General features: G+C 37.9%; 1 protein-coding gene across 13 annotated transcripts in view; it reads right to left on the bottom strand.

Annotated features, from left to right (window-relative positions):
• The window catches only part of ZDHHC15 (zDHHC palmitoyltransferase 15), a 154,611-nt gene that overhangs the window by 52,962 nt on the left and 80,429 nt on the right, over positions 1-21,220 (bottom strand). For 12 of the 13 annotated variants that reach the window (XR_001755658.3, XR_938393.3, NM_001146256.2 and 9 more), the window contains 5 exons: positions 10,063-10,132; positions 8,560-8,592; positions 7,690-7,810; positions 3,264-3,396; positions 476-602 (listed from right to left, as the gene is read on the bottom strand). Coding sequence is in view for 10 of the 13 variants with exons in the window: in NM_001146256.2 (NP_001139728.1) it covers positions 476-602; positions 3,264-3,396; positions 7,690-7,810; positions 8,560-8,592; positions 10,063-10,132 (484 nt within the window). In the remaining 3 variants the exon portion in view is untranslated. Of the gene's footprint in view, positions 1-475; positions 603-3,263; positions 3,397-7,689; positions 7,811-8,559; positions 8,593-10,062; positions 10,133-21,220 lie in introns of those variants that run through there. The other variant, XR_007068181.1, reaches the window with a different exon arrangement.

Raw genomic sequence — 21,220 nt, forward strand, 5'->3', positions numbered from 1 at the left:
TATATATATATTATATATATATAATATATATATAATATATATATAATATATATTATATATATATATTCCCATATTGTTGGCTGTTTAGGTTGTTTCCTAATTATTGGCTATAAATAATGCTGTGATGAACATTTTTGTGCATAGTTTGTCTCTGTCTTTAGGGTAGATTCAATTCCCAGAAATGGAATTACTGGGATGTTGGGCAAGTAGATTCTTAAATTTTTTGATAGATATTACCAAATTCAGTTATAAAAGATTGGTAGTGCCACTGCACACTGCCACAAAGAAAGCATGAGAATATCTATTTTATCAGACCCTCACCTCTTTATTTGCCTTTATTAACCTAGAAATGAAGAACTTGGGGAATAGAGTTTCACACTGGACTGATACCTGCTGCATACTACAATCAAAATTGAATTTGCTGGTTCAAGGCAGGGTCCAGTACTAACTTCTTCCAGTGGTAATATTTACTCACCTGGAACCAATAGGTATTAACCAGAACTTCTTCTTATCTCCAAACACCTGCTGGATATTCTTGATGAAGCCAAGGTTGAACCCATTTTTCTCTGGGCCACTTGTAAACACTGGAGTGCAGAAGGCCTCTAAGGCAGGGCAGGAGAGTTGAAGAAAAGAGGAAGAAAGCAATAAAGAAACAAATTTCAGCATAGTCATGATTTTACATTTCTCCATGTATGTGACTTGGTTCTATTATATCTTTTTGCTGTGGTAGCACAGACCTCTCATTTTTAGGTATTGCTAAATTGCTTAGTAAAAACCAGTTTAATCACTTCACACAAACTAAACTTGTTACTGCATATAAAGAATTAGAACTCTCTTTTTAAAAGACAGGGGAAACACATGGTGGCAGAAATAATTAAGCAGCCACGGGGGTAGTATGTATTTTGTACTGCTGAATTTAGAATATAGGAACAGATTTAACAGCACTTTATTTGAATCTAAGCGGCAACAACAGCCGAATGACCACCATCTTTAGAGCTGGGAAGAAAGTAATGACACATAAAGAGATGGTAATGACATTGATTTGGTTTTGAAACATTTCAAAAATGAAAGTGTTCATGCTGAAGCCTGCAGTGTAAGAAACTGAGTTTTACTTCAGCTAAAATGTCAATTGGTGAGCCATAATCACTTCAAAGACTGTAAGGAATGGGACCATGTTAGTGCACATTATTTTTAGACACACATTTATCCCATTAAGTAAATGATTTCACTGTTGGACTCTAGCTGCATCTGACTGTTTCTCATTTGTTCTTTGTTTTCAGACTCTGTTATCATGAAGCTTTTAGTGGTTTTCCACTTCGTAGCTGGTCTCTAAGCCAAATGTGCTAATCTACCACCCTAGCAACTAGGGGCTACATACATATTTGGTTAAGAAAATGGGTGCAAATACTTTTTTTTTAAATTTATTATTATTATACTTTAAGTTTTAGGGTACATGTGCACAATGTGCAGGTTAGTTACATATGTATACATGTGCCATGCTGGTGTGCTGCACCCACTAACTTGTCATCTAGCATTAGGTATATCTCCCAATGCTATCCCTCCCCCCTCCCCCCACCCCACAACAGGCCCCAGAGTGTGATGTTCCCCTTCCTGTGTCCATGTGTTCTCATTTTAAAAAATAGATACAGGGTCTTATTCTGTCACCCAGGCTGGAGTACAGTGGCACAATCTTAGTTTACCGCAGCCTTAAACTCCTGGCCAGGGTCAATCAATCTTCCTGTCTCAGCTTACTGAGGAGCTGCAGCCACAGGCACATGCCACCACACCCAGCTAATGATTATTATTTTAAAAATATTTTAACTATTATTTTAGGTTCAGGGTAAATGTGCAAGTTTGTTATATAGGTAAATTTGTGACTTGAGGGTATGGTGTTTGTCACCCAGGTACTAAGCATAGTACCCGAGTGAATTTTTTTTTCTGAACCCCTCCCTCCTCCCATACTCCTTCCTCAAGTAGGCCCCAGTGTCTGTTGTTCCATTCTTTGTGTTTACGTGTACTCAGTCTTTAGCTCCCACTTATAAGTGAGAACATGAAGTATTTGATTTTCTGTTCCTGAGTTAGTTCACTTAGGATAATGGCTTCAAGCTTCATTTGTGTTGCTGCAAAGGACAGGATCTCGTTCTTTGTTATGGCTGCGTAGCATTCCATGGTGTATATGTACCACATTTTCTTTATCTAGTTTGCCATTGATGGACCTTTAGGTTGATTCCACGGCTTTGCTATTGTGAATAGTCACCCAGCTAATTATTTTTATTTTTATTTGTAGAGATGGGGTTTTGTTATGTTGCTCAGGCTGGTCTCAAACTCCTCAGCTCAAGTGATTCTCCTGCCTTGGCCTTCCAAAGTGCTAGGAGTGCTAAGAATACAGGAGTGAGCCATCATGTACGGCCAATAGATGCAAATACTTTCTTAGCTGTTAGCATTATTAGCAAACAAATTCCCAATGTGTAGTAGCTTTTGCACTAAACTTTTCTCAAATCTATCCTAGCTAAACATTCAACATTCAAAACTTGGACACTTTGTCCTCACTCCTCATGTACTGATTTGTACACAATGTAAATACTTATTTCACCATAGATGAAATAAAATGTACTGGAATCCATCAGTAATATAGTTTTCCACATAATAGCCTATAGACTAACTGACAGAAAATATGTTCATTTATTTTACTCATTTTCTAGAGAATCATTTGTTCAATGTATTTATCTCATTCCCATAGTACCTAAACAGCCCCTTGATGATTGCAGATATTTACTGATTTTTTTTTTTGTTTCTCAAGACTTTTGGATTCTTGTTGTGGTTGGTTTGGATTTTTTCTCAGGGCTCTGTTTTTAGATGTGCATAATAAATTAGATTCTACTATCTTTATCAAACTTTACTTCTCCCTTCTGACATCCCCTTCTGTACTGATTCTTTCTTTAATTTCCTCATGTGAACACCTTTTAGAAATCTTCTGAGCTATTAACCTTGGGAGCTATTACCCAGTATGCACTATAAAGAACAATGGCCATTTTTGTTTCTGTGTGGGGTTTCATTAAAAAATATTCTCATAATTAGCCTATAAGCTTCACTCACTATGCCTTTCTATTTCGGTAAAATGTATTTTCATCTGTCTCAGTCTGGGGGTAGAGGGATGTCACTGCAGCTAAAATGCTTCACTGGAAGTTTTAATTGGGAACAATTCACAGGTCCCTCTGATACACATTAATATGTTTTTTCCTAATCTTAATATTCAGTCTTACCTAAGGTGGTTTTGTTTCTGCTGACAAGCCAACAATGGTAACCAAAGAGAATCACAAGGCTGACAAAAAACATGCAGGCCACAAAGAGAAGAAAAAGGACATGGAACTTAGAGCGAACACTGGGTAATTCCCCCTAGAAAAGAAATAATAAACAAGCAAAAGATTAAAGTGGAAACGGATGGCTAGTTTTTCTAAATATATAGGTTAGTAGTTTTCACATGTATAAAGTGTCTAGCTGTAATTTAAAAAATAGATTCTGTAAAATTTTTATAATATGGTTCTTTCTGTCAATGATGATACCTGTGAGTGTGCTCTCAGCCTACAAAGCCTAAAATGGATCCTTGCTTAAGTGCAGTTCAGTGTAAAATAGAGTATCTTAAGTACCAATTATAAAAGGGTAATGTGAAAAGGGTATTCTCGGGCCATAATTGGTATGCAACCGCTTACAGCTTGTAGTCAATTTAGTTTGAGATCTTGAAGTCATATGCCTTATCCTCTTGTCTCAGGGTAAGTTATTCTGGAATTCTTTATATATAATGTTTCCTTGGGCATGCGTGTATTGAAAATGTCACGGTGATGTATGTAAGAAGTTAAAACATAGGTAGAATTTTAAAATGTCCTACCCATAAGTCATAACCTGATTTTAAAGTTGTTGTAGATTTTGTGTGGTTGTTTTTTATAGCTGAGGTAGAATGTGCTGATATATTACATCCTGTGAAACAGCTGTTTAGACAGTAAAAATCAAGCAGAATTTTTACAGGCAACTGTAAAAGTAGGTGGCTAAAGATTTTTATAGTTATCTAGGACATCTTATTTTCCATGTGGCACCAGCCTTTTTTTCCGACATGCAGCCTAGACCAGAATGAATGTTATAAAGTTCTGTAACATGCGCAGCATGTAACATTTATCTTCTGAAGAGAATCTTAGAAAACATTTTCAATTTTGGAGTGAATAGTTGGGGGAATGACTACTATTTATTTCCTCCTTCCCTGTGATGATTATTGTTTCAGTGTGATGAATCACTTTGAAATATTTCCAATTGCTCTCTAGTAATAAAGTTAAATGTGATTCTTAAGTGGACCTTAACTTCTGAATGATCTAGTTCTACTCCAATTTGGGAGGAGAAAGTTAAGGCTTGGCAACACTTGGCAAGTTCAGATAGTACAGATTTTTTTCTTCTCTGAGATAATATTTTTATTCATTTTTATGTATGGAAATATTGGGAATCTTCCAGGTTGTATACTGAAGGATGAAGATAAGCATGCTTCCCCTTATCTTCAGCCAGTCAGATGCTGTCAGCTGAGTGGGGGTCCAGGTGAAAATTGCATAGGGGCAGAGCAGCCCAGCAAAGAGCTACCTCAAGAACTTCAACCTTCAAGAATATTTATTTGAAACTCTCCTTTTTGAAATGATCCCTCTACAAATTCTCGGCCTAAGCAGGCAAATTGAATTAGATTGGTTTTTGTTTTATTTTGAACTTATAGAAAAGATTCCATACATTGCTTTGCAGTGGGTTTTGCCTTGACTGTGTTTTTGCTTTCACAATCTTTAGTTTTTAAAGAATGTTTTAAAAATATTTTAAAGCTCACATTTATTTTACTTCTTATTGTTTCACATATAAATGGATAGTAGAAAATGGCTGGACAAGAGGGACTGATATAAAGTCAGTCCACAGTCTGTCTGGCTGAGCTGCAGTCTATTCCCTCACCCCACCCAATTACTCTCAAAGAACATTTTTCTGTCTCCCAAAGCATATCTACTGTGTTGTCCCTTGATAGAGTTCTTCTTAAACTTTTTTTTTTTTTTAGAAGAGGGTGATAGCCCTATGTTCAAAAATACCTTCTCAGGAGATAACCAAGCTAAATCACTCAAAGTAATAGCCATCAGAGAGAGAGCAGATGAATACTGGCAGAATAATGCTATTATCCTGATTCTAAAATAATTCATAGCTCTGTGAGGAGATCCATGGCCCAATATGTGAGGGATGTATTACTATTTTTTACATAAGGAAAAGCTCAATCTCTTATCAAAGTAGCTATTGTTTAATATAGAGAAGAGAGAAATAATCTGTTGGTCTTCTGAATTCTTTAATCTCATGGAGCTAGAGCTCTCCACAGCAGAGCCATAATGGGCAGTAGGACATGGTATAGTGTGTAAATTCATGGGGCTTAGGGTCCGACTTAGGTGAAAGTCCTAACTTTGGAAATTTACAAGCTGGGTGATCATAGACAAGTCACTTAACTACTATGAGCCTCAGTTTTTATCATCTTTGAATAAGACTAATAATTCATGCTTTGCCTACTTCACAGGGTTGTGGTAAGGATCAGATGAGATAAGGGGTATGAAAGTGCTTCAAAAACTGTAAAGTACCATACAAATGAAGGTTGCTATTGATAGGAGCACAGCTTGTCTCCTTGATACACAGCTTTCAAAATATATGGCAGTGTTTACTTTTTATTTTAAGGGGATATTCAATTTAAACAGAGAAAGCCATCCCTAAACTACACTAAAGTGTTATCTGGCTAAAGAGACTGCCAGGGAGCATTTCTCTGAACTGTCAATGCCCTTTTCATTTTAGGACAAGCCAGGACACATTTCCTTGCCTCTCATCTGTGAGGCATGAGCTAGCCTACTGTGGAGAAAAAAAATGAGGGAATAGAAAGAGAACAAGGTTATGTTCACTCTTGGTATTACTTGTGAATATTGGCACATTACTGATGATTAATTCATATCCAAATATTATCTTTCAAGAATGAAAAAAGCATATAGCACCTGGCTGGCATTGTGACATTTGATTATTGGCTGACTAGGTGGGCTAAAGGCAAAATGTGTGAAATGTAATATTGTTTATTTTGTTACAAGGGTAAAAAGTGGTTCCTAAACAGTAGCCTACTGTGTTAAGAACCAAGAAAGGTCTATAGTGAAGATCAAGGCCGACACTTTCCCTGCTGATTGGACATAGTAGATTTTCTTCACATTCAGGGTAGTAGCTCAGTATGTGGATTTTATAATATATTTTAAAATTATTGTAACTTAATAATAATCCTGTGCTGTGGAAAGGGACAAAGGAAGAGATGATGAAGCATTTTATATTTGTAGAAAAATTTATGAAAAAGTTTTACTTCTGCATAAAGTTTTGCTTGTATCCCTGAGTTAATGATTATGGCATCTATTATATAATTCCTTATTCTTAAAGTTATTAAATATCTGAACTGATTAAGCAAGTTGAAAGGGAAATGGAAAACACACATCACTATAATTTTCTACACTATCTTTTCTATATTACTAGGGATCAATGCACTGATTAATAATTTAAATATTCTTGGCTATTTAGGTTCCTATTGCCTTACCCTTCTCCTTTTTTCTTCAGTTTATTATAGTCTATATTCTGGTCACTGAATTCATGTTCTTTCTCTACGGCTTTATGTCTCCATTTGAGGTGAGATATTCATGTTATATAGGCTTTTGTGCAATCCCTAAATAACTAGTAGCTCTGTCCACATCTGTCTTTTGATATTCAGGTTCAGTTTGGACAGCCTTCATCATGGATGTCTTAGTAATTGTACTGGAGTTGTGGGGAAGGGATATCTCCTGGAGTCCACTAGTATGACATTTAAAAAGAACATATTTCACTATACTTTTGCCAGACCTTGTACACATATGTAAATAAAAAAATCTGCCTTAAGTTTGTTTTTCTTTTTTGGAAGTAGTTGGATATGATTTATATCTTCAAGTAGATGAAATAACTTTTTTTGAGATTTCATTATAATTATTAGACTCACATTTTTAAAGGTAAAGCACTTTCAACGTCTGTTTCATTTGATCTTGGCAATGAGCCAGTGAAGCAGGTAAGAGATCCAGTATTAGATCCCAGTTCTCCTAATTGCTAACCCAGTGTTTGTCAAACAAAGTTAAAAAACAAACAAAAAAACCCCTCCCCATTATGTGAGATAGGTCAGTATATCTTTCTGTCTCATAGGAATTCTGCAACTCTCCTTTGAATAGGGAATTAGGAAGTATTTTCTAACAACAGGGGAGTGATTTGTTAGCCTTTTTCTTAGGAAACTAGGGATTTAAAATTAGTTTCAACATTTTTCAAATCTATAACTGGTAGGAAGTGGAACTTTAAAACTCACCTGGAGAAATACATTGTAAAGAATCAATAGGAGTCAAGAGATTAGGTACCCAAAGGCCTTAGCAAGATTCTCGTGTATGACAGAAACTTGTTTAACTAGAATCTTTAAATAACAGCTTCCGAAATCTCAGAGTATTCAATATGGAAAACCTGTTTTTAGTGCCTTCTCTTCCAGTTACTTCAACAGTATTAGCTATTTAAAAATGTAAAAAGATAGAGGGTGAACAATGTCACAAGTTGGAGTGGGTGTGCATTTGTTCTAGGGGACCCTTCAGGATATTTTTAACTTACTCTCCAGTATTTGATGAAATAGCTGAAGACTGTCGTAGCAATGTACAGGCAGTAGAGAACAGAGTAAGCTAAGAATTGAAGGAAGAATTTGTAGTTGGAAAATCCAATGCAGTTATTAACCCTAAAAAAAAAGAAAAACTAATTTGACATCAGGACCTCTTGATTGAGAGCACACTGATACATAAGTGAACTAAGCAATGGAATAATGCTAGTTCTGCTGCTTCATTATGTGTCGTGTAAAAGCCCAATAGAGATAGAAGTCCCTTAATAAGAACAAACTGGATAAAACAAGTTCATGTCTCACTTGTTTATTCTTTCATTTACAGGCACAGAAACACCTGGCCTGCCTAATAGCTCTGGACTGGTTCGTGACACATCCAAGCAAACCTGGATCCTGGTTGCTAAAAATGTATTACAGTTTTAGCAGCTACATTTGGTACAGTTGTGGCATGTTCTTTTTGTAGTTAGGTGATTTCAGACTGGCCCGCAGGGTCTGATATACAAAATTTGGAAAATTGCTGAATTTAACATTCTAGAATATTTCAAACATCAAGCCAACTAGAAACAGAACTGAATTGTGTAATGTTAAAAGGAGAAATGTTTGTGCTGTATTTCATTACTATGCTCAATTGCTAAAGTTAATGAATATGAGACCATTAGCTTTGTAACTCCAGGAATTCACTACCATACCTTTGGTGTTATATTTTTTCTTTATTTAAAATGTTACCCCTCCCCTGTCCCCTACAGAAATATAAAACCCAGTGAATTATGGTGGCAGAAACAGGCATGTGACAACTATGCTTAGAAAAGTGCATATAATTGAGCAACTTTGACCCCTTTAGAGGAGAGAAATGAATCAAACAGACATACCAAGGGCAGTGATGATCCATTTTTAACACACACCTACGAAGGGGACAAAATACAGTGTGATAAGTGAGGCTATGGAAATGAAGCAACATCTCATAATTAAACTCAAGGTTTCACCAGTATTTTTACATGGTTCTAATAACACCCATTCTCAGATTTCCACTATAGTGACTCCAAAACTGTGGCCCTCAGTTATTTCTAGGATGAGGTAATCACAACAACACTTTATAGGATCATGCCAGCAGCAAGTTACATGCTTATAAGTCCAACCTTTCAAAGGGATTGGAAACTCCAGATTATTAATACAGAGAAAAGGTTCAAGATGTCTCCTATCATTTTATTCAATACTTAGTTTAATAAAAATACAGAAGAAAATATATGGCTATAGCCTCTATCTGAATCAAGGGTAAGAAAAATATGGGTGGAATAAGTACTCAAGAGAAAAGGCATTACATGTATCAATATAAAAATGGGGTTTGCAAAGCTGGAACAATTTGGGCAACAAAAAAGTAGTATTGGGTTATAATGCAAAATGTAAAATGAATATTTATGCTTTCATACTGATATAAATAAATGATTGAATAAATAAATAAATGAAGAGAAGAGATAAATGTCCCAAGCAAAATAACTTGAAATAATTTGTGTAGATACTCCACCTTCAAGGATGGAGGGCATAACTTTCCATTCCTTTAGTGTTGGCTGTGCATAGTGACTTCCTTTCAAAGAGTAAAGCATAGAAAGGAAGAACAATTTTACAGTGGTGAAACCTGACATACTACCTCAGCCAGATGATCAAAATTAACCTTTCAGTGATAAGTCATGTTTATAGGTACCCTTAATATGATGTAATGAGAATGGCACCTTACTCTGTCGTCTTCCTCCCCCAGATCATATTACCCCAGTCTAACAATGATGAGGAAAGCATCAAACAAATCTCAATCAAGGGACACTCTATGACCTACTTGACCATTAATCCTAAATACTGTCAAGGTTATCAAAAACAAGTCTGGGATACTGCCACAGCTAAGAGAAGCTAAGGAGATGAGACATCACTATTAAATGTAATGTGGTATCCTGGATGGGATCCTGGAACAGATAAAGGACATTATGGAAAAACTGAGGAAATCTAAATATAGACTTCAGTTAAAAATAATGTATCAGTATTAGTTCATTAATTGTAACAAATGTATCATACAAATATAAGATGTTAACAACAAGGGAAACTGGGTGTGAGACATACAAGAACTATCTTCACAATAAATCTGTAAGTCTAAAACTGTCCACAAATACAATGTTAGTTTTTAAAATGTGGTCTTACTTCTCTTACTTATCTTTAGAGTAGCTTGGATCATCATCATCCGTGTGAGGGGTTTTGGCATATGCTCATTATAATTGAAAGGAAATGCTCTTATCTAGGTATGATTACATGTTAGGATCAGTCATTTTGTTGTCTAGGAAACCTTCAGTGGCCAAGCCCAGCCCAGGGGAAATATGGCCGTCACTTACATAGCACAGACAGAGCAGTGGTGGCAGCGGTCTGGCTTGATCAGATGACACCGGTCACAGAATCGTACAGCTATAAAAAAAAAAATAAGGTGGTTAGCACTTGTTAGGGCTCAATATAAGACCTTATATCTTACTAGCTTATCTGGATGACTTGTTATGCACTGATTATAGATAGTCAAACTCATCTCAAGTTACCAAGCAAAAGGCAGACTACATAAGAGAATTGGGGTATATATTTTTTTCCTTGTTGTATCCAATTTTGAAAGCACTTTTGGGGGCTGAAAGGAACGAGAAAAGTTTCTTATCTGGATATCTGTCATAAGATCTTTCATTATAAAACAAACTATACTATCAAATGCTTGAGGGATCTTGAAAAACCATTTAGCCTCTATTTACCCCCAACTTTCTGATCTGAAAATAAGGATTCACAGTTTATCTCCTGTCTCCAGAGGTTGGATTGTATGTGGTGGATAACACTCCTAAAACATGGTAAAGAGAGTGGTTTCTAGAATAATAATTTGGGGAACAGAAGAGACATTCTAGAACAATTAGTTTAATTGACCATTTCACAGATAAAGGAAATAAAGATCTGGGTCATATCAAGTGATTTGCCCAGGGTCACACAGCAAGTTGCTGGCAGGGCTGTGACCTGTACAGTTTTGATGATTTCTTATTTTAGGATTCTTTTAACTCTGTAATTCTTATTTTAGGATTCTAATATAAAAAAATCATTCCTCCTTCCCTCCCTCCTTCATTCCTTCCTTTCTTCCTTCCTTCCTTTCCTTTAGATGAAAGGTATTTTACTTTCCCTCTCATTTTCTAGATGTTCATTGATAGAGTACGACTGTGTTTAATGTGATTATTAAGTATAAAAACTAAAATGATGAATAATTTGAACTAATATAATCATTTCATCTAAAGTGTACATTAAGCACATATTACTGATTCAACACAATAGACAGTTAATTCAGCAGAGATTTGTGTTTACTTCCACTAATGGAAGTATGTGAGTGACTAAAGTCGTGGGTATAATTGAGTCAAAGAGGAAGGGAGAAGAACATGCATATCTGGGTCCTTTTGCATATTTTAAAATATACTGTCAATGCTCCTATCCTCATTTAAGCCACATTGTCTCTTAGCTAGTTGACTGCAATATCTGTGTAATTTATCACTCTGCTTTCATACTTGCCCCTCAAAAGACCTACTATACAGAGTAGCTGGGTGATCTGTCAAAATCTACATCAGATCTGGTGTAGTGGCTCATGTCTATAATCCCAGCACTTTGAGAGACTGAGGCACAACTATCGCTTGAGACCAAGAGTTCCAGACCAGCCTGGACAACATAGTGAGACCCTGTCTCTATAAAAAAATAAAATAAAATAAATTAGCCAGGCATGGTGGTGTGCACTTGTGGCCTCAGCTACTTGGGAGGCCGAGGCGGGAGGATTGCTAGAGCCCAGGAGTTCGAGGCTGCTGTGATCCATGAATGAACCACTGTACTCCAGCCTGGGCGATAGAGCAAGATCCTGTTTCTAAAAATAAAAAAAAAAATGTAAATCAGATCATATCACTCTCCACTTAAAACTCTCAATGGATTTCCAACACCTTCAGAATAAAATCCAAACTCCTTACCATGGCCTGTATCATCTAGCCTCTGCCTATCTCTTCAAATGAATCTTGTAAAACTCTCCTCATACTATGTTCCAGTGAAACTGGCTGCCTATCTGCTCTTGTAATCAAGCTTGCTCCTGTTTCAAGGCTTTTTGTGCTTGCAGTTCCTTTTGCCTGGGATGATCATCCCTCTGCTCCTTTTGGTATGATGGTTAATTTTACTTTTTTTATTTCAATAGGTTTTTGGGGAACAGGTGGTGTTTGGTTACATGGATAAGTTGTTTAGTGGTGATTTCTGAGATTTTGGTGCACCCACCATCTAAGCCGTAAACACTGTACCCAGCATGTAGTCTGTTAACCCTTGCCACCCCCTACCCTTCCCCCTGAGTCCCCAGAGTACACTATATCATTCTTAGGCTTTTGCATCCTCATAGCTTAGCTCTCACTCATAATTGAAAACATATGATATTAGGTTTTCCACTCCTGAGTTACTTTACATAGAATAATGGTCTCCAACTCCATCCAGGTTGCTGAGAATGCCATGATTTTGTTCCCTTTTTATGGCCAAGTAGTGTATATTTTTTATGGCTGAGTAGTGTGTGTGTGTGTGTGTGTGTGTGTGTGTGTGTGTGTGTGTATATATATATATATATATATGTAACATTTTCTTTATTCACTCATTGGTTTGGGCTGGTTCCATATTTTTGTAATTTGTAATTGCAAACTGTGTTGCGATGAACATGCCTGTGCAAGTGTCTTTTTCATATAATGACTTCTTTTGCTCTGGGTAAATACCCAGGAGTGGGATTGTTGGATCAAATGACAGATCTACGTTAGTTCTTTAAGGAATCTCCATACTGTTTTCCATAGTGGTTGTAGTAGTTCATATTCCCACCAGGAGTGTAAAAGCGTTCCCTTTTCACCACATCAAAGCCAACGTTTATTATGCTTTGATTTTTAAATTACGGCCATTCTTGCAGGAATAAGGTGGTATTGCATTGTGGTTTTGACTTGCATTTCCCTGAAAATTAGTGATGTTGAGAATATTTTCACGTTTGTTGGCCATTTGTATATCTTCTTTTGAGAATTGTTTATTCAGGTCCTTAGCCCACTTTTTGATGGGATTGTTTTTTTCTTGCTGATTTGTTTGGGTTCCTTGTAGATTCTGGATATTCGTCCCTTGTCACATGCATAGTTTGTGGATAATTTTTCCCAGCCTTTGGGTTGTCTGTTTACTCTGCTATTTCTTTTCCTATGCAGAAGCTTTCTAGTTTAATTAAGTCCCATCAATTTATCTTTGTTGGTGTTGCATTTGCCTTTGGGTTCTTGGTCATGAACTATTTGCATAGGCCAATATCTAGCAAAGTTTTTCCAATGTTATCTTCTATAATGTTTATGGTTTCAGGTCTTAGATTTAAGTCTTCGATCCAACTTGAGTTCAGTAGATTTTTGTATATGGTGATAAATGAGGATCCAGTTTCATTCTTCTACATGTGGCTTGCCAATTATCCCAGCATCATTTGTTGAATAGGGTGTCTTTCCCCACTTTATGTTTTTGTTTGCTTTGTCAAAAATCAGTTAGCTGTAAGTATTTGGGCTTATTTCTGGGTTCCTATTCTGTTCCATTGGTCTATGCACCTATTTTTATACCTGTACCATGCTGCTTTGGTGACTATAGCCTTGTAGTATAGTTTGAAGTCAGGTAACGTGATGCCTCCAGATTTGTTCTTTTTGCTTACTCTTGCTTTGCCTAATGCGGGCTTTTATAGTTTCACATGAATTTTAGAATTGTTTTTTCCAGTGCTGTGAAGAATGATGGTGGTAGTTTGATGGGAATTGCATTGAATGTGTATATTGCTTTTGGCAGCATGGTCATTTTCACAATATTGATTATACCCATTCATGGGCATGGGATGTGTTTCCATTTGTTTACGTTGTCTATGATTTCTTTCAGCAGTGTTTTGTAGTTTTCCTTGTAGAGGTCTTTCATGTCCTTGGTTAGGTATATTTCTAAGTTTTGTTTGTTTGTTTGTTTTCTGCTATAGTAAAAGTAGTGGAGTTCTTGATTTGATTCTCAGCTTGGTTGCTGTTGGTGTATAGCACTGCTACTGATTTGTATACATTAATTTTGTAACGTGAAATTTTATTGAATTCATTGATCAGATCCAGGAGCTTTTTGGAAGAGTCTTTAGGGTTTTCTAGGTATATGATCACATTATCAGCAAACAGTGACTGTTTGACTTCCTCTTTATTCATTTGGATGTCCTTTATTTCTTTCTCTTGTCTGATCACTCTGGCTAGGACTTCCAGTACTATGTTGAATAGAAATGGTGAAAGTGGGCATCTTTGTCTTGTTCCAGTTCTCAGGAACAATGCTTTCAACTTTTCCCCATTCAGTATAATTTAGCTGTGGGTTTGTCATAGATGGCTTTTATTACCTTAACATATTTCCCTTCTATGCTGATTTTGCTGAGGATTTTAATCATAAAGGGATGCTGGATTTTGTCAAATGTTTTTTCTGCGTCTATTGAGATGATCATGTGATTTTTGTTTTTACTTATGTTTATGTGGTGTACCACATTTATTGACTTGCCTGTGTTAAACCAACCCTGAATCCATGGTATGAAACCCACATGATGATGATGGATTATGTTTTTGATATGCTGTTGAATTCGGTTAGCTAGTATTTTGTTGAGGATTTCTGCATCTATATTCATTAGGAATATTGGTCTGCAGTTTTCTTTTTTAGCTATGTTCTTTCCTGGTTTTTGGTACTAGGGTAATATTGGCTTCATAGAATAATTTAGGAAGGATTCCCTCTTTCTCTGTCTTTTGGAATAGTTTCAGTAGGAGTGGTACCAATTCTTCTTTGAGTGTCTGATAGAATTCAGCTGTGAATCCATCTGGCCCTGGACTTTTTTTTGTTGGCAATTTTTTTATTACCATTTTAATCTTGCTGCTTGTTACTGGCCTCTTCAGAGTTCCCATTTCTTTCTGGTTTAATCTAGCACAGTTGTATATTTGCAGGAATTTATCCATCTCCTCTAAATTTTCTAGTTTGTGCCCACGAATGTGTCCTTAGTTGCCTTGAATGATCTTTTGTATTTCTGTTATCGGCTGTAATATCTCCCTTTTTGTTTCAAATTGAGCTTATTTGGATCTTCACTCTTCTTGGTTTATCTCACTAATTGTCTATCAATTTTATCTTTTCGAAGAACAAGCTTTTCGTTTCATTTATCTTTTGTATTCTTATTTTTTGTTTCAATTTCATTTAGTTCTGCTCTGATTTTTGTTATTTCTTTTCTTCTGCTGGGTTTGGGTTTGGTTTGTTCTTGTTTCTTTAGTTCCTTGAGGTGTAAGCTTAGATTGTCCATTTGTGCTCTTTCAGACTTTTTGATGTAGGCACTTAATGCTATGAACTTTCCTCTTAGCACTGTTTTGCTGTATCCCAGAGGTTTTGATAGGTTGTGTTACTATTATCATTCAGTTCAAAGAATTTTTAAAACTTCCATCTTGATTTCATTGTTGACTCAACAATCATTCATGAGTAGTTTATTTAAATTCTATGTATTCACATGGTTTTGAAGGTTCCTACTAAAGGTGATTTCCAATTGTATTCCACTGTGGTCTGAGAAAGTACTTGAAATAATTTTGATTTTCTTAGATTTACTGAAACTTGTTTTGTGGCCTATCATATGGTCTATCTTGAATAATGTTCCATGTGCTAATGAATAGAATGTATATTCTGCAGTAGTTGGGTAGAATGTTCTGTAAATATCTGTTTTGTTTTGTTTGTTTTATTTTTTGTTTATTTTGTTTTGTTTTGTTTTGTCTTTTTGAGACGGAGTCTCGCTCTGTCGCCCAGGCTGGAGTGCAGTGGCGTGATCTCGGCTCACTGCAAGCTCTGCCTCCTGGGTTCACGCCATTCTCCTGCCTCAGCCTCCCGAGTAGCTGGGACTACAGGCACCCACCACCATGCCCGGCTAATTTTTTGTGTTTTTAGTAGAGATGGGGTTTCACCGTGTTAGCCAGGATGGTCTTGATCGCCTTACCTCGTGATCCGCCCGCCCCGGCCACCCAAAGTGCTGGGATTACAGGCCTGAGCCACCGCGCCAAGCCCCTGTAAATATCTGTTAAGTCTATTTGTTCTAGTGTGTAGTTTAAGTCTACTGTTTCTTTGTTGTTTCTTTGTTGACTTTCTTTTTTTTGTTTTTTTTTTTTAAATTTATTTATTATTATTATACTTTAAGTTTTAGGGTACATGTGCACAATGTGCAGGTTAGTTACATATGTATACATGTGCCATGCTGGTGTGCTGCACCCACTAACTCGTCATCTAGCATTAGGTATATCTCCCAATGCTATCCCTCCCCCCTCCCCCCACCCCACAACAGTCCCCAGAGTGTGATGTTCCCCTTCCTGTGTCCATGTGTTCTCATTGTTCAATTCCCACCTATGAGTGAGAATATGCGGTGTTTGGTTTTTTGTTCTTGCGATAGTTTACTGAGAATGATGATTTCCAATTTCATCCATGTCCCTACAAAGGATATGAACTCATCATTTTTTATGGCTGCATAGTATTCCATGGTGTATATGTGCCACATTTTCTTAATCCAGTCTATCATTGTTGGACATTTGGGTTGGTTCCAAGTCTTTGCTATTGTGAATAATGCCACAATAAACATACGTGTGCATGTGTCTTTAAAGCAGCATGATTTACAGTCCTTTGGGTATATACCCAGTAATGGGATGGCTGGGTCAAATGGTATTTCTAGTTCTAGATCTCTGAGGAATCACCACACTGACTTCCATACTCATCTGACAAAGGGCTAATATCCAGAATCTACAAAGAACTCAAACAAATTTACAAGAAAAAAACAAACAACCCCATCAAAAAGTGGGCAAAGGACATGAACAGACACTTCTCAAAAGAAGACATTTATGCAGCCAAAAAACACATGAAAAAATGCTCACCATCACTGGCCATCAGAGAAATGCAAATCACAACCACAATGAGATACCATCTCACACCTGTTAGAATGGCAATCATTAAAAAGTCAGGAAACAACAAGTGCTGGAGAGGATGTGGAGAAATAGGAACACTTTTACACTGTTGGTGGGACTGTAAACTAGTTCAACCATTGTGGAAGTCAGTGTGACTTTCTGTCTTGATGGCCTGTCTCGTGCTGTCAGTGGAGTAGTGAAGTCCCCCGCTATTATTGTGTTGCCATCTATTTCATTTCTCAAGTCTAATAGTAATTGTTTTATAAATTTGTGGGCTCCAGTATTAGGTGCATATATATTTAGGATTGTGATATTTTCCTGTTTAACTGTCCTTTTATCATTATATAATGTCCCTCTTTGTCTTTTTAAACTGTTGTTGCTTTAAAGTCTGTTTTTTTTTCTAAGAATAGCTAACCCTGCATATTTTTAGTGTCCATTTGCATTGAATACCTTTTTTCACTCCTGTACCTTAAGTTTATGTCAGTCCTTTTATGTTAGGTGCGTTGAAGACAGCAGATACTTGGTTGGTAAACTTTTATTCATTCTGCCATTCTGTATCTTTTAAGTGGAGGATTTAGGCCGTTTACATTCAACATTAATATTGAGATGTGAGGTATCATTCTATTCATCATGCTAGTTGTTGCATCAATGCCTTTTTTACATTGTGTTTTTGTTTTATAACCCCTGTGAGATTTATGCTTTAAGGAAGTTCTATTTTGCTGTATTTTGAGGTTTTGTTTCAAGATATTGAACTCCTTTTAACATTTCTTGTAGCTCTGCCTTGGTAATGGTAAATTATCTCAGCATTTTTTTGTCTAAAAAATATTTTATCTTTCCTTCATTTATGAAGTTTTCTTTCGCTGGATACAAAATTCTTGGCTGGTAATTATTTTCTTAAAGAGGCAAAATATAGGACCCAAATCCCTTCTAGTTTGCAGGGTTTCTGCTGACAAATCTGCTGTTAGTCTGATAGCTTTCCCTTCATAGGTTACCTGATGCTTTTGCCTCACAGCTCTTAAGATTTTCTCCTTTGTCTTGACTTTAGATACTCTGATGACTGTGTGCCTACCTGATGATTTTTTGCTATGAATTTCCTGGGTGTTCTTTGAGCTTCTGTATTTGGATGTCTATATCTCTAGCAAGGCCAGGGACATTTTCCTCGGTTTTTCCCCCAAATAAGTTTTCCAAACACTTAGATCTCTCTTCTTCCTCAGGAACACCAATTACTCTTAGGTTTCAGAATAACATAATCATTTAACATAATCACAAAACTTCTTGGAGCCTTTGTTCATTTTTTTGAATCTTTTTTCTTTGTCTTTGTCAGATTGGGTTAATTCAAAAGCCTTTTCTTTAAGCTCTGATGTTCTTTCTTCTACTTCTTCAATTATATTGTTGTAACTTTCCAGTTTCTTTTGCATTTGTCTAAGTGTGTTTCATTTCCAGAAGCTGTGGATGTTTTTTATTTATGCTGTATATTTCTCTGGAGATATTTTAATCCATATCCTATAATATTTTTAAAATTTCTTTAAATTATTTTTCATCTTTCTCTGATCCCTCCTTGAACAGCTTAATAATTGACTTTCTAAATTCTTTTCTGGGCAATTCACAGGATTCTTCTTGGTTTAGATCCATTGCTTGTGACCTAATGTGGTCTTTGGGGGATGTCAAAGAACCTTGCTTTATAATATTATCAGAATTGTTTTTCTTGTTCCTTCTCATTTGGGTAGACTATGTCAGAGGAACGTTCTGTGGCTCAAGGGCTGCTGTTCAGATTCTTTTCTTCCACTGGGTGATCCCTTGATGTGGTGTTCTCCCCATTTTTCTAAGGATGGGGTTTCCTGGGAGCCAGACTGCAGTGATTGTTATTTACTCTTCTGGGTCTAGCCACCCAGCAGAGCTACCGGACTCTGTGCTGGTACTGGGGAGTGTCTGCAAAGAGTCCTGTGATTTGATCCATCTTCAGTTCTCTCAGTCATGGATACCAGCACCTGCTCCAGTGGAGGTAGCAGGGGAGTTGAAGTGGATTCTGTGAGGATCCTTGACTGTAGATTTTTTTATGGCCCTGGTTTTCTCAAATGCTGTTTGTGCTAACAGTGAAGCTATCACGTGGACAAACTCAGGACCTCTGGTTAGCCAGGATGTCCCAGGCAGTGGAATTAGCTGTTGTTTTCTCCTTTCTTGGAGCAGGGTTGTTCTTTTTTTCTTTTTTCTTTTCCTTTTTTTTTTGAGATGGAGATGGAGTCTTGCTCTGTTGCCCAGGCTGGAGTGCAGTGGCACGATCTCGGCTCAATGCAAGCTCCGCCTTCCGGGTTCATGCCATTCTCTCGCCTTAGCCTCCTGAGTAGCTGGGACTACAGGCGCCCACCACCATGCCCAGCTAATTTTTTGTATTTTTAGTAGAGACAGGGTTTCACCGTGTTAGCCAGGATGGTCTCGATCTCCTGACCTCGTGATCTGCCTGCCCCGGCCTCCCGAAGTGCTGGGATTACAGGCGTGAGCCACCGTGCCCAACCACGTTCTTTTATGTGTTGTTGTAATGGCTTGAGTTGGTTGGCCTCCAGCCAGGAGGTGGGGCTTTCAAGAGAGCATCAGCTGTGGTAGTATAGCGGGGATTCAATCTTTCCCTAGGGTCACCTGGATAAGTATTCTGGTTTCTCAGGCAATGGGCAGGGACATAGAACTCCCAAGAGATTTCATCTTCAGCTACCAGGGCATGTAGAGAAAGGCCATCAGGGCAGGTTAGGCATGTCTGAGCTCAGACTCTCCTTGTGTGGGGCTTGCTATGGTTGCTGTGGGAAATAGGGGTGTTGTTCTCAGGTTAATGGAGTTATGTTCCCAGGAGGATTATGGCTGCCTCTGCTACATCATATAGGTCACCAGGGAAGTGGAGAAAAGCCAGCAGTGACAGGCCTCACCCAACTCCCATGCAGCCAGCAAGGCCAGTCACACTCTCCCCGTACCCACCAACAGCACCTAGTTTATATCCAGGAAGCCGGTTTGCAGGGCTGACATCTTGCCTTGCTACAAGCATCCCCATGGAGAAAGCAAGCAGGGCTTTCAGGCCCTGCCCCTCCCTGCCTGCCACAGCTTCTGTGCTCGTATCTATACTTCCCATTCATCTCCCTGGATTCTGCCCAAGAAAATTCATGCTCAGTTGAAATTATTACAAAGCTCAGCTGTGAGTTTCCTTCTCTCTGTGGCTGTTCCCCAAGGAACCCTTGAAATAGAGAGCCCTAGTGAAAAGGAAATGGCTAGTCTGGGCTTCCCTGAAGACCGTGAGTGCCTACAGGGTTCTTCCCACTGCTTCCTCTACTTTTATATTTCTCTCGGCTCTCCAAATTTGTTTCCGCTCTAAGGAAGGTGAAATCCTTTTCCCACAATCAGAATTTTTAGATTCCCCAGTGGGGATGCATGTTCAGAAGTGGACTTTCCCCCTCTCAACACTTTGGGCACTCACAGGTTTTTGGCTGTCTCATGGAGTTTGCAGTGGCAAGATGCTTCTTTCAAAGGATCTGTGAATTCTTTCCGCTTTCCTGGTATGTTCCTGTGGTAGTTCTTTTTTTTTTTTTTTTTCCTGAGACAGAGTCTCGCTCTGTCGCCCAGGCTGGAGTACAGTGGCGTGATCTCCTCTCACTGCAAGCTCCGCCTCCTGGGTTCACGCCATTCTCCTGCCTTAGCCCCCCGAGTAGCTGGGATTACAGGCACCCGCCACTGCGCACGGCTAATTTTTTGTATTTTTAGTAGAGATGGGGTTTCACCATGTTAGCCAGGATGGTCTCGATCTCCTGATCTCGTGATCCACCCACCTCAGCCTCCCAAAGTGCTGGAATTACAGGCATGAGCCACCACACCCGGCCACCCTGTGGTAGTTCTTAGATCAAAAGTTCATGGTGTGAGTCTCCACATGTTGCTTTGTCCATCCAAGTGGGAGCGGCAAGTTAGTCCTGCCTCCTATATGCCGTATTTTTGTCTGGTTTTAATTCTGATGGTTAATTTTATGTGTGAACTTGACTGAGTCATACGGTGCCCAGATATTTGATTAAACATTCTTTCTAAGTGTCTTTGTGAGAGTTTTTCTGGGTGAGATTAGCATTTGAATCAGTAGACTGAGTAAAGCAGATTGTCTTCCCCAGTGGGGGTGGGCTTCAACCAAGCCTTTGAGGACCAAAACTGGCACAAGACAGGGATGCCCTCTCTCACCACTCCTATTCAACATAGTGTTGGAAGTTCTGGCCAGGGTAATCAGGCAGGAGAAGGAAATAAAGGGTATTCAATTAGGAAAAGAGGAAGTCAAATTGTCCGTGTTTGCAGATGACATGATTGTATATCTAGAAAACCCCATTGTTTCAGCCCAAAATCTCCTTAAGCTGATATGCAACCTCAGCAAAGTCTCAGGATACAAAATCAATGTGCAAAAATCACAAGCATTCTAATACACCAATAACAGACAGAGAGCCAAATCATGAGTGAACTCCCATTCACAGTTGCTTCAAAGAGAATAAAATACGTAGGAATCCAACTTACAAGGGATGTGAAGGACCTT

Source organism: Homo sapiens, chromosome X, assembly GCF_000001405.40.
Source record: "Homo sapiens chromosome X, GRCh38.p14 Primary Assembly".
Taxonomy (NCBI): Eukaryota; Metazoa; Chordata; class Mammalia; order Primates; family Hominidae; genus Homo; species Homo sapiens.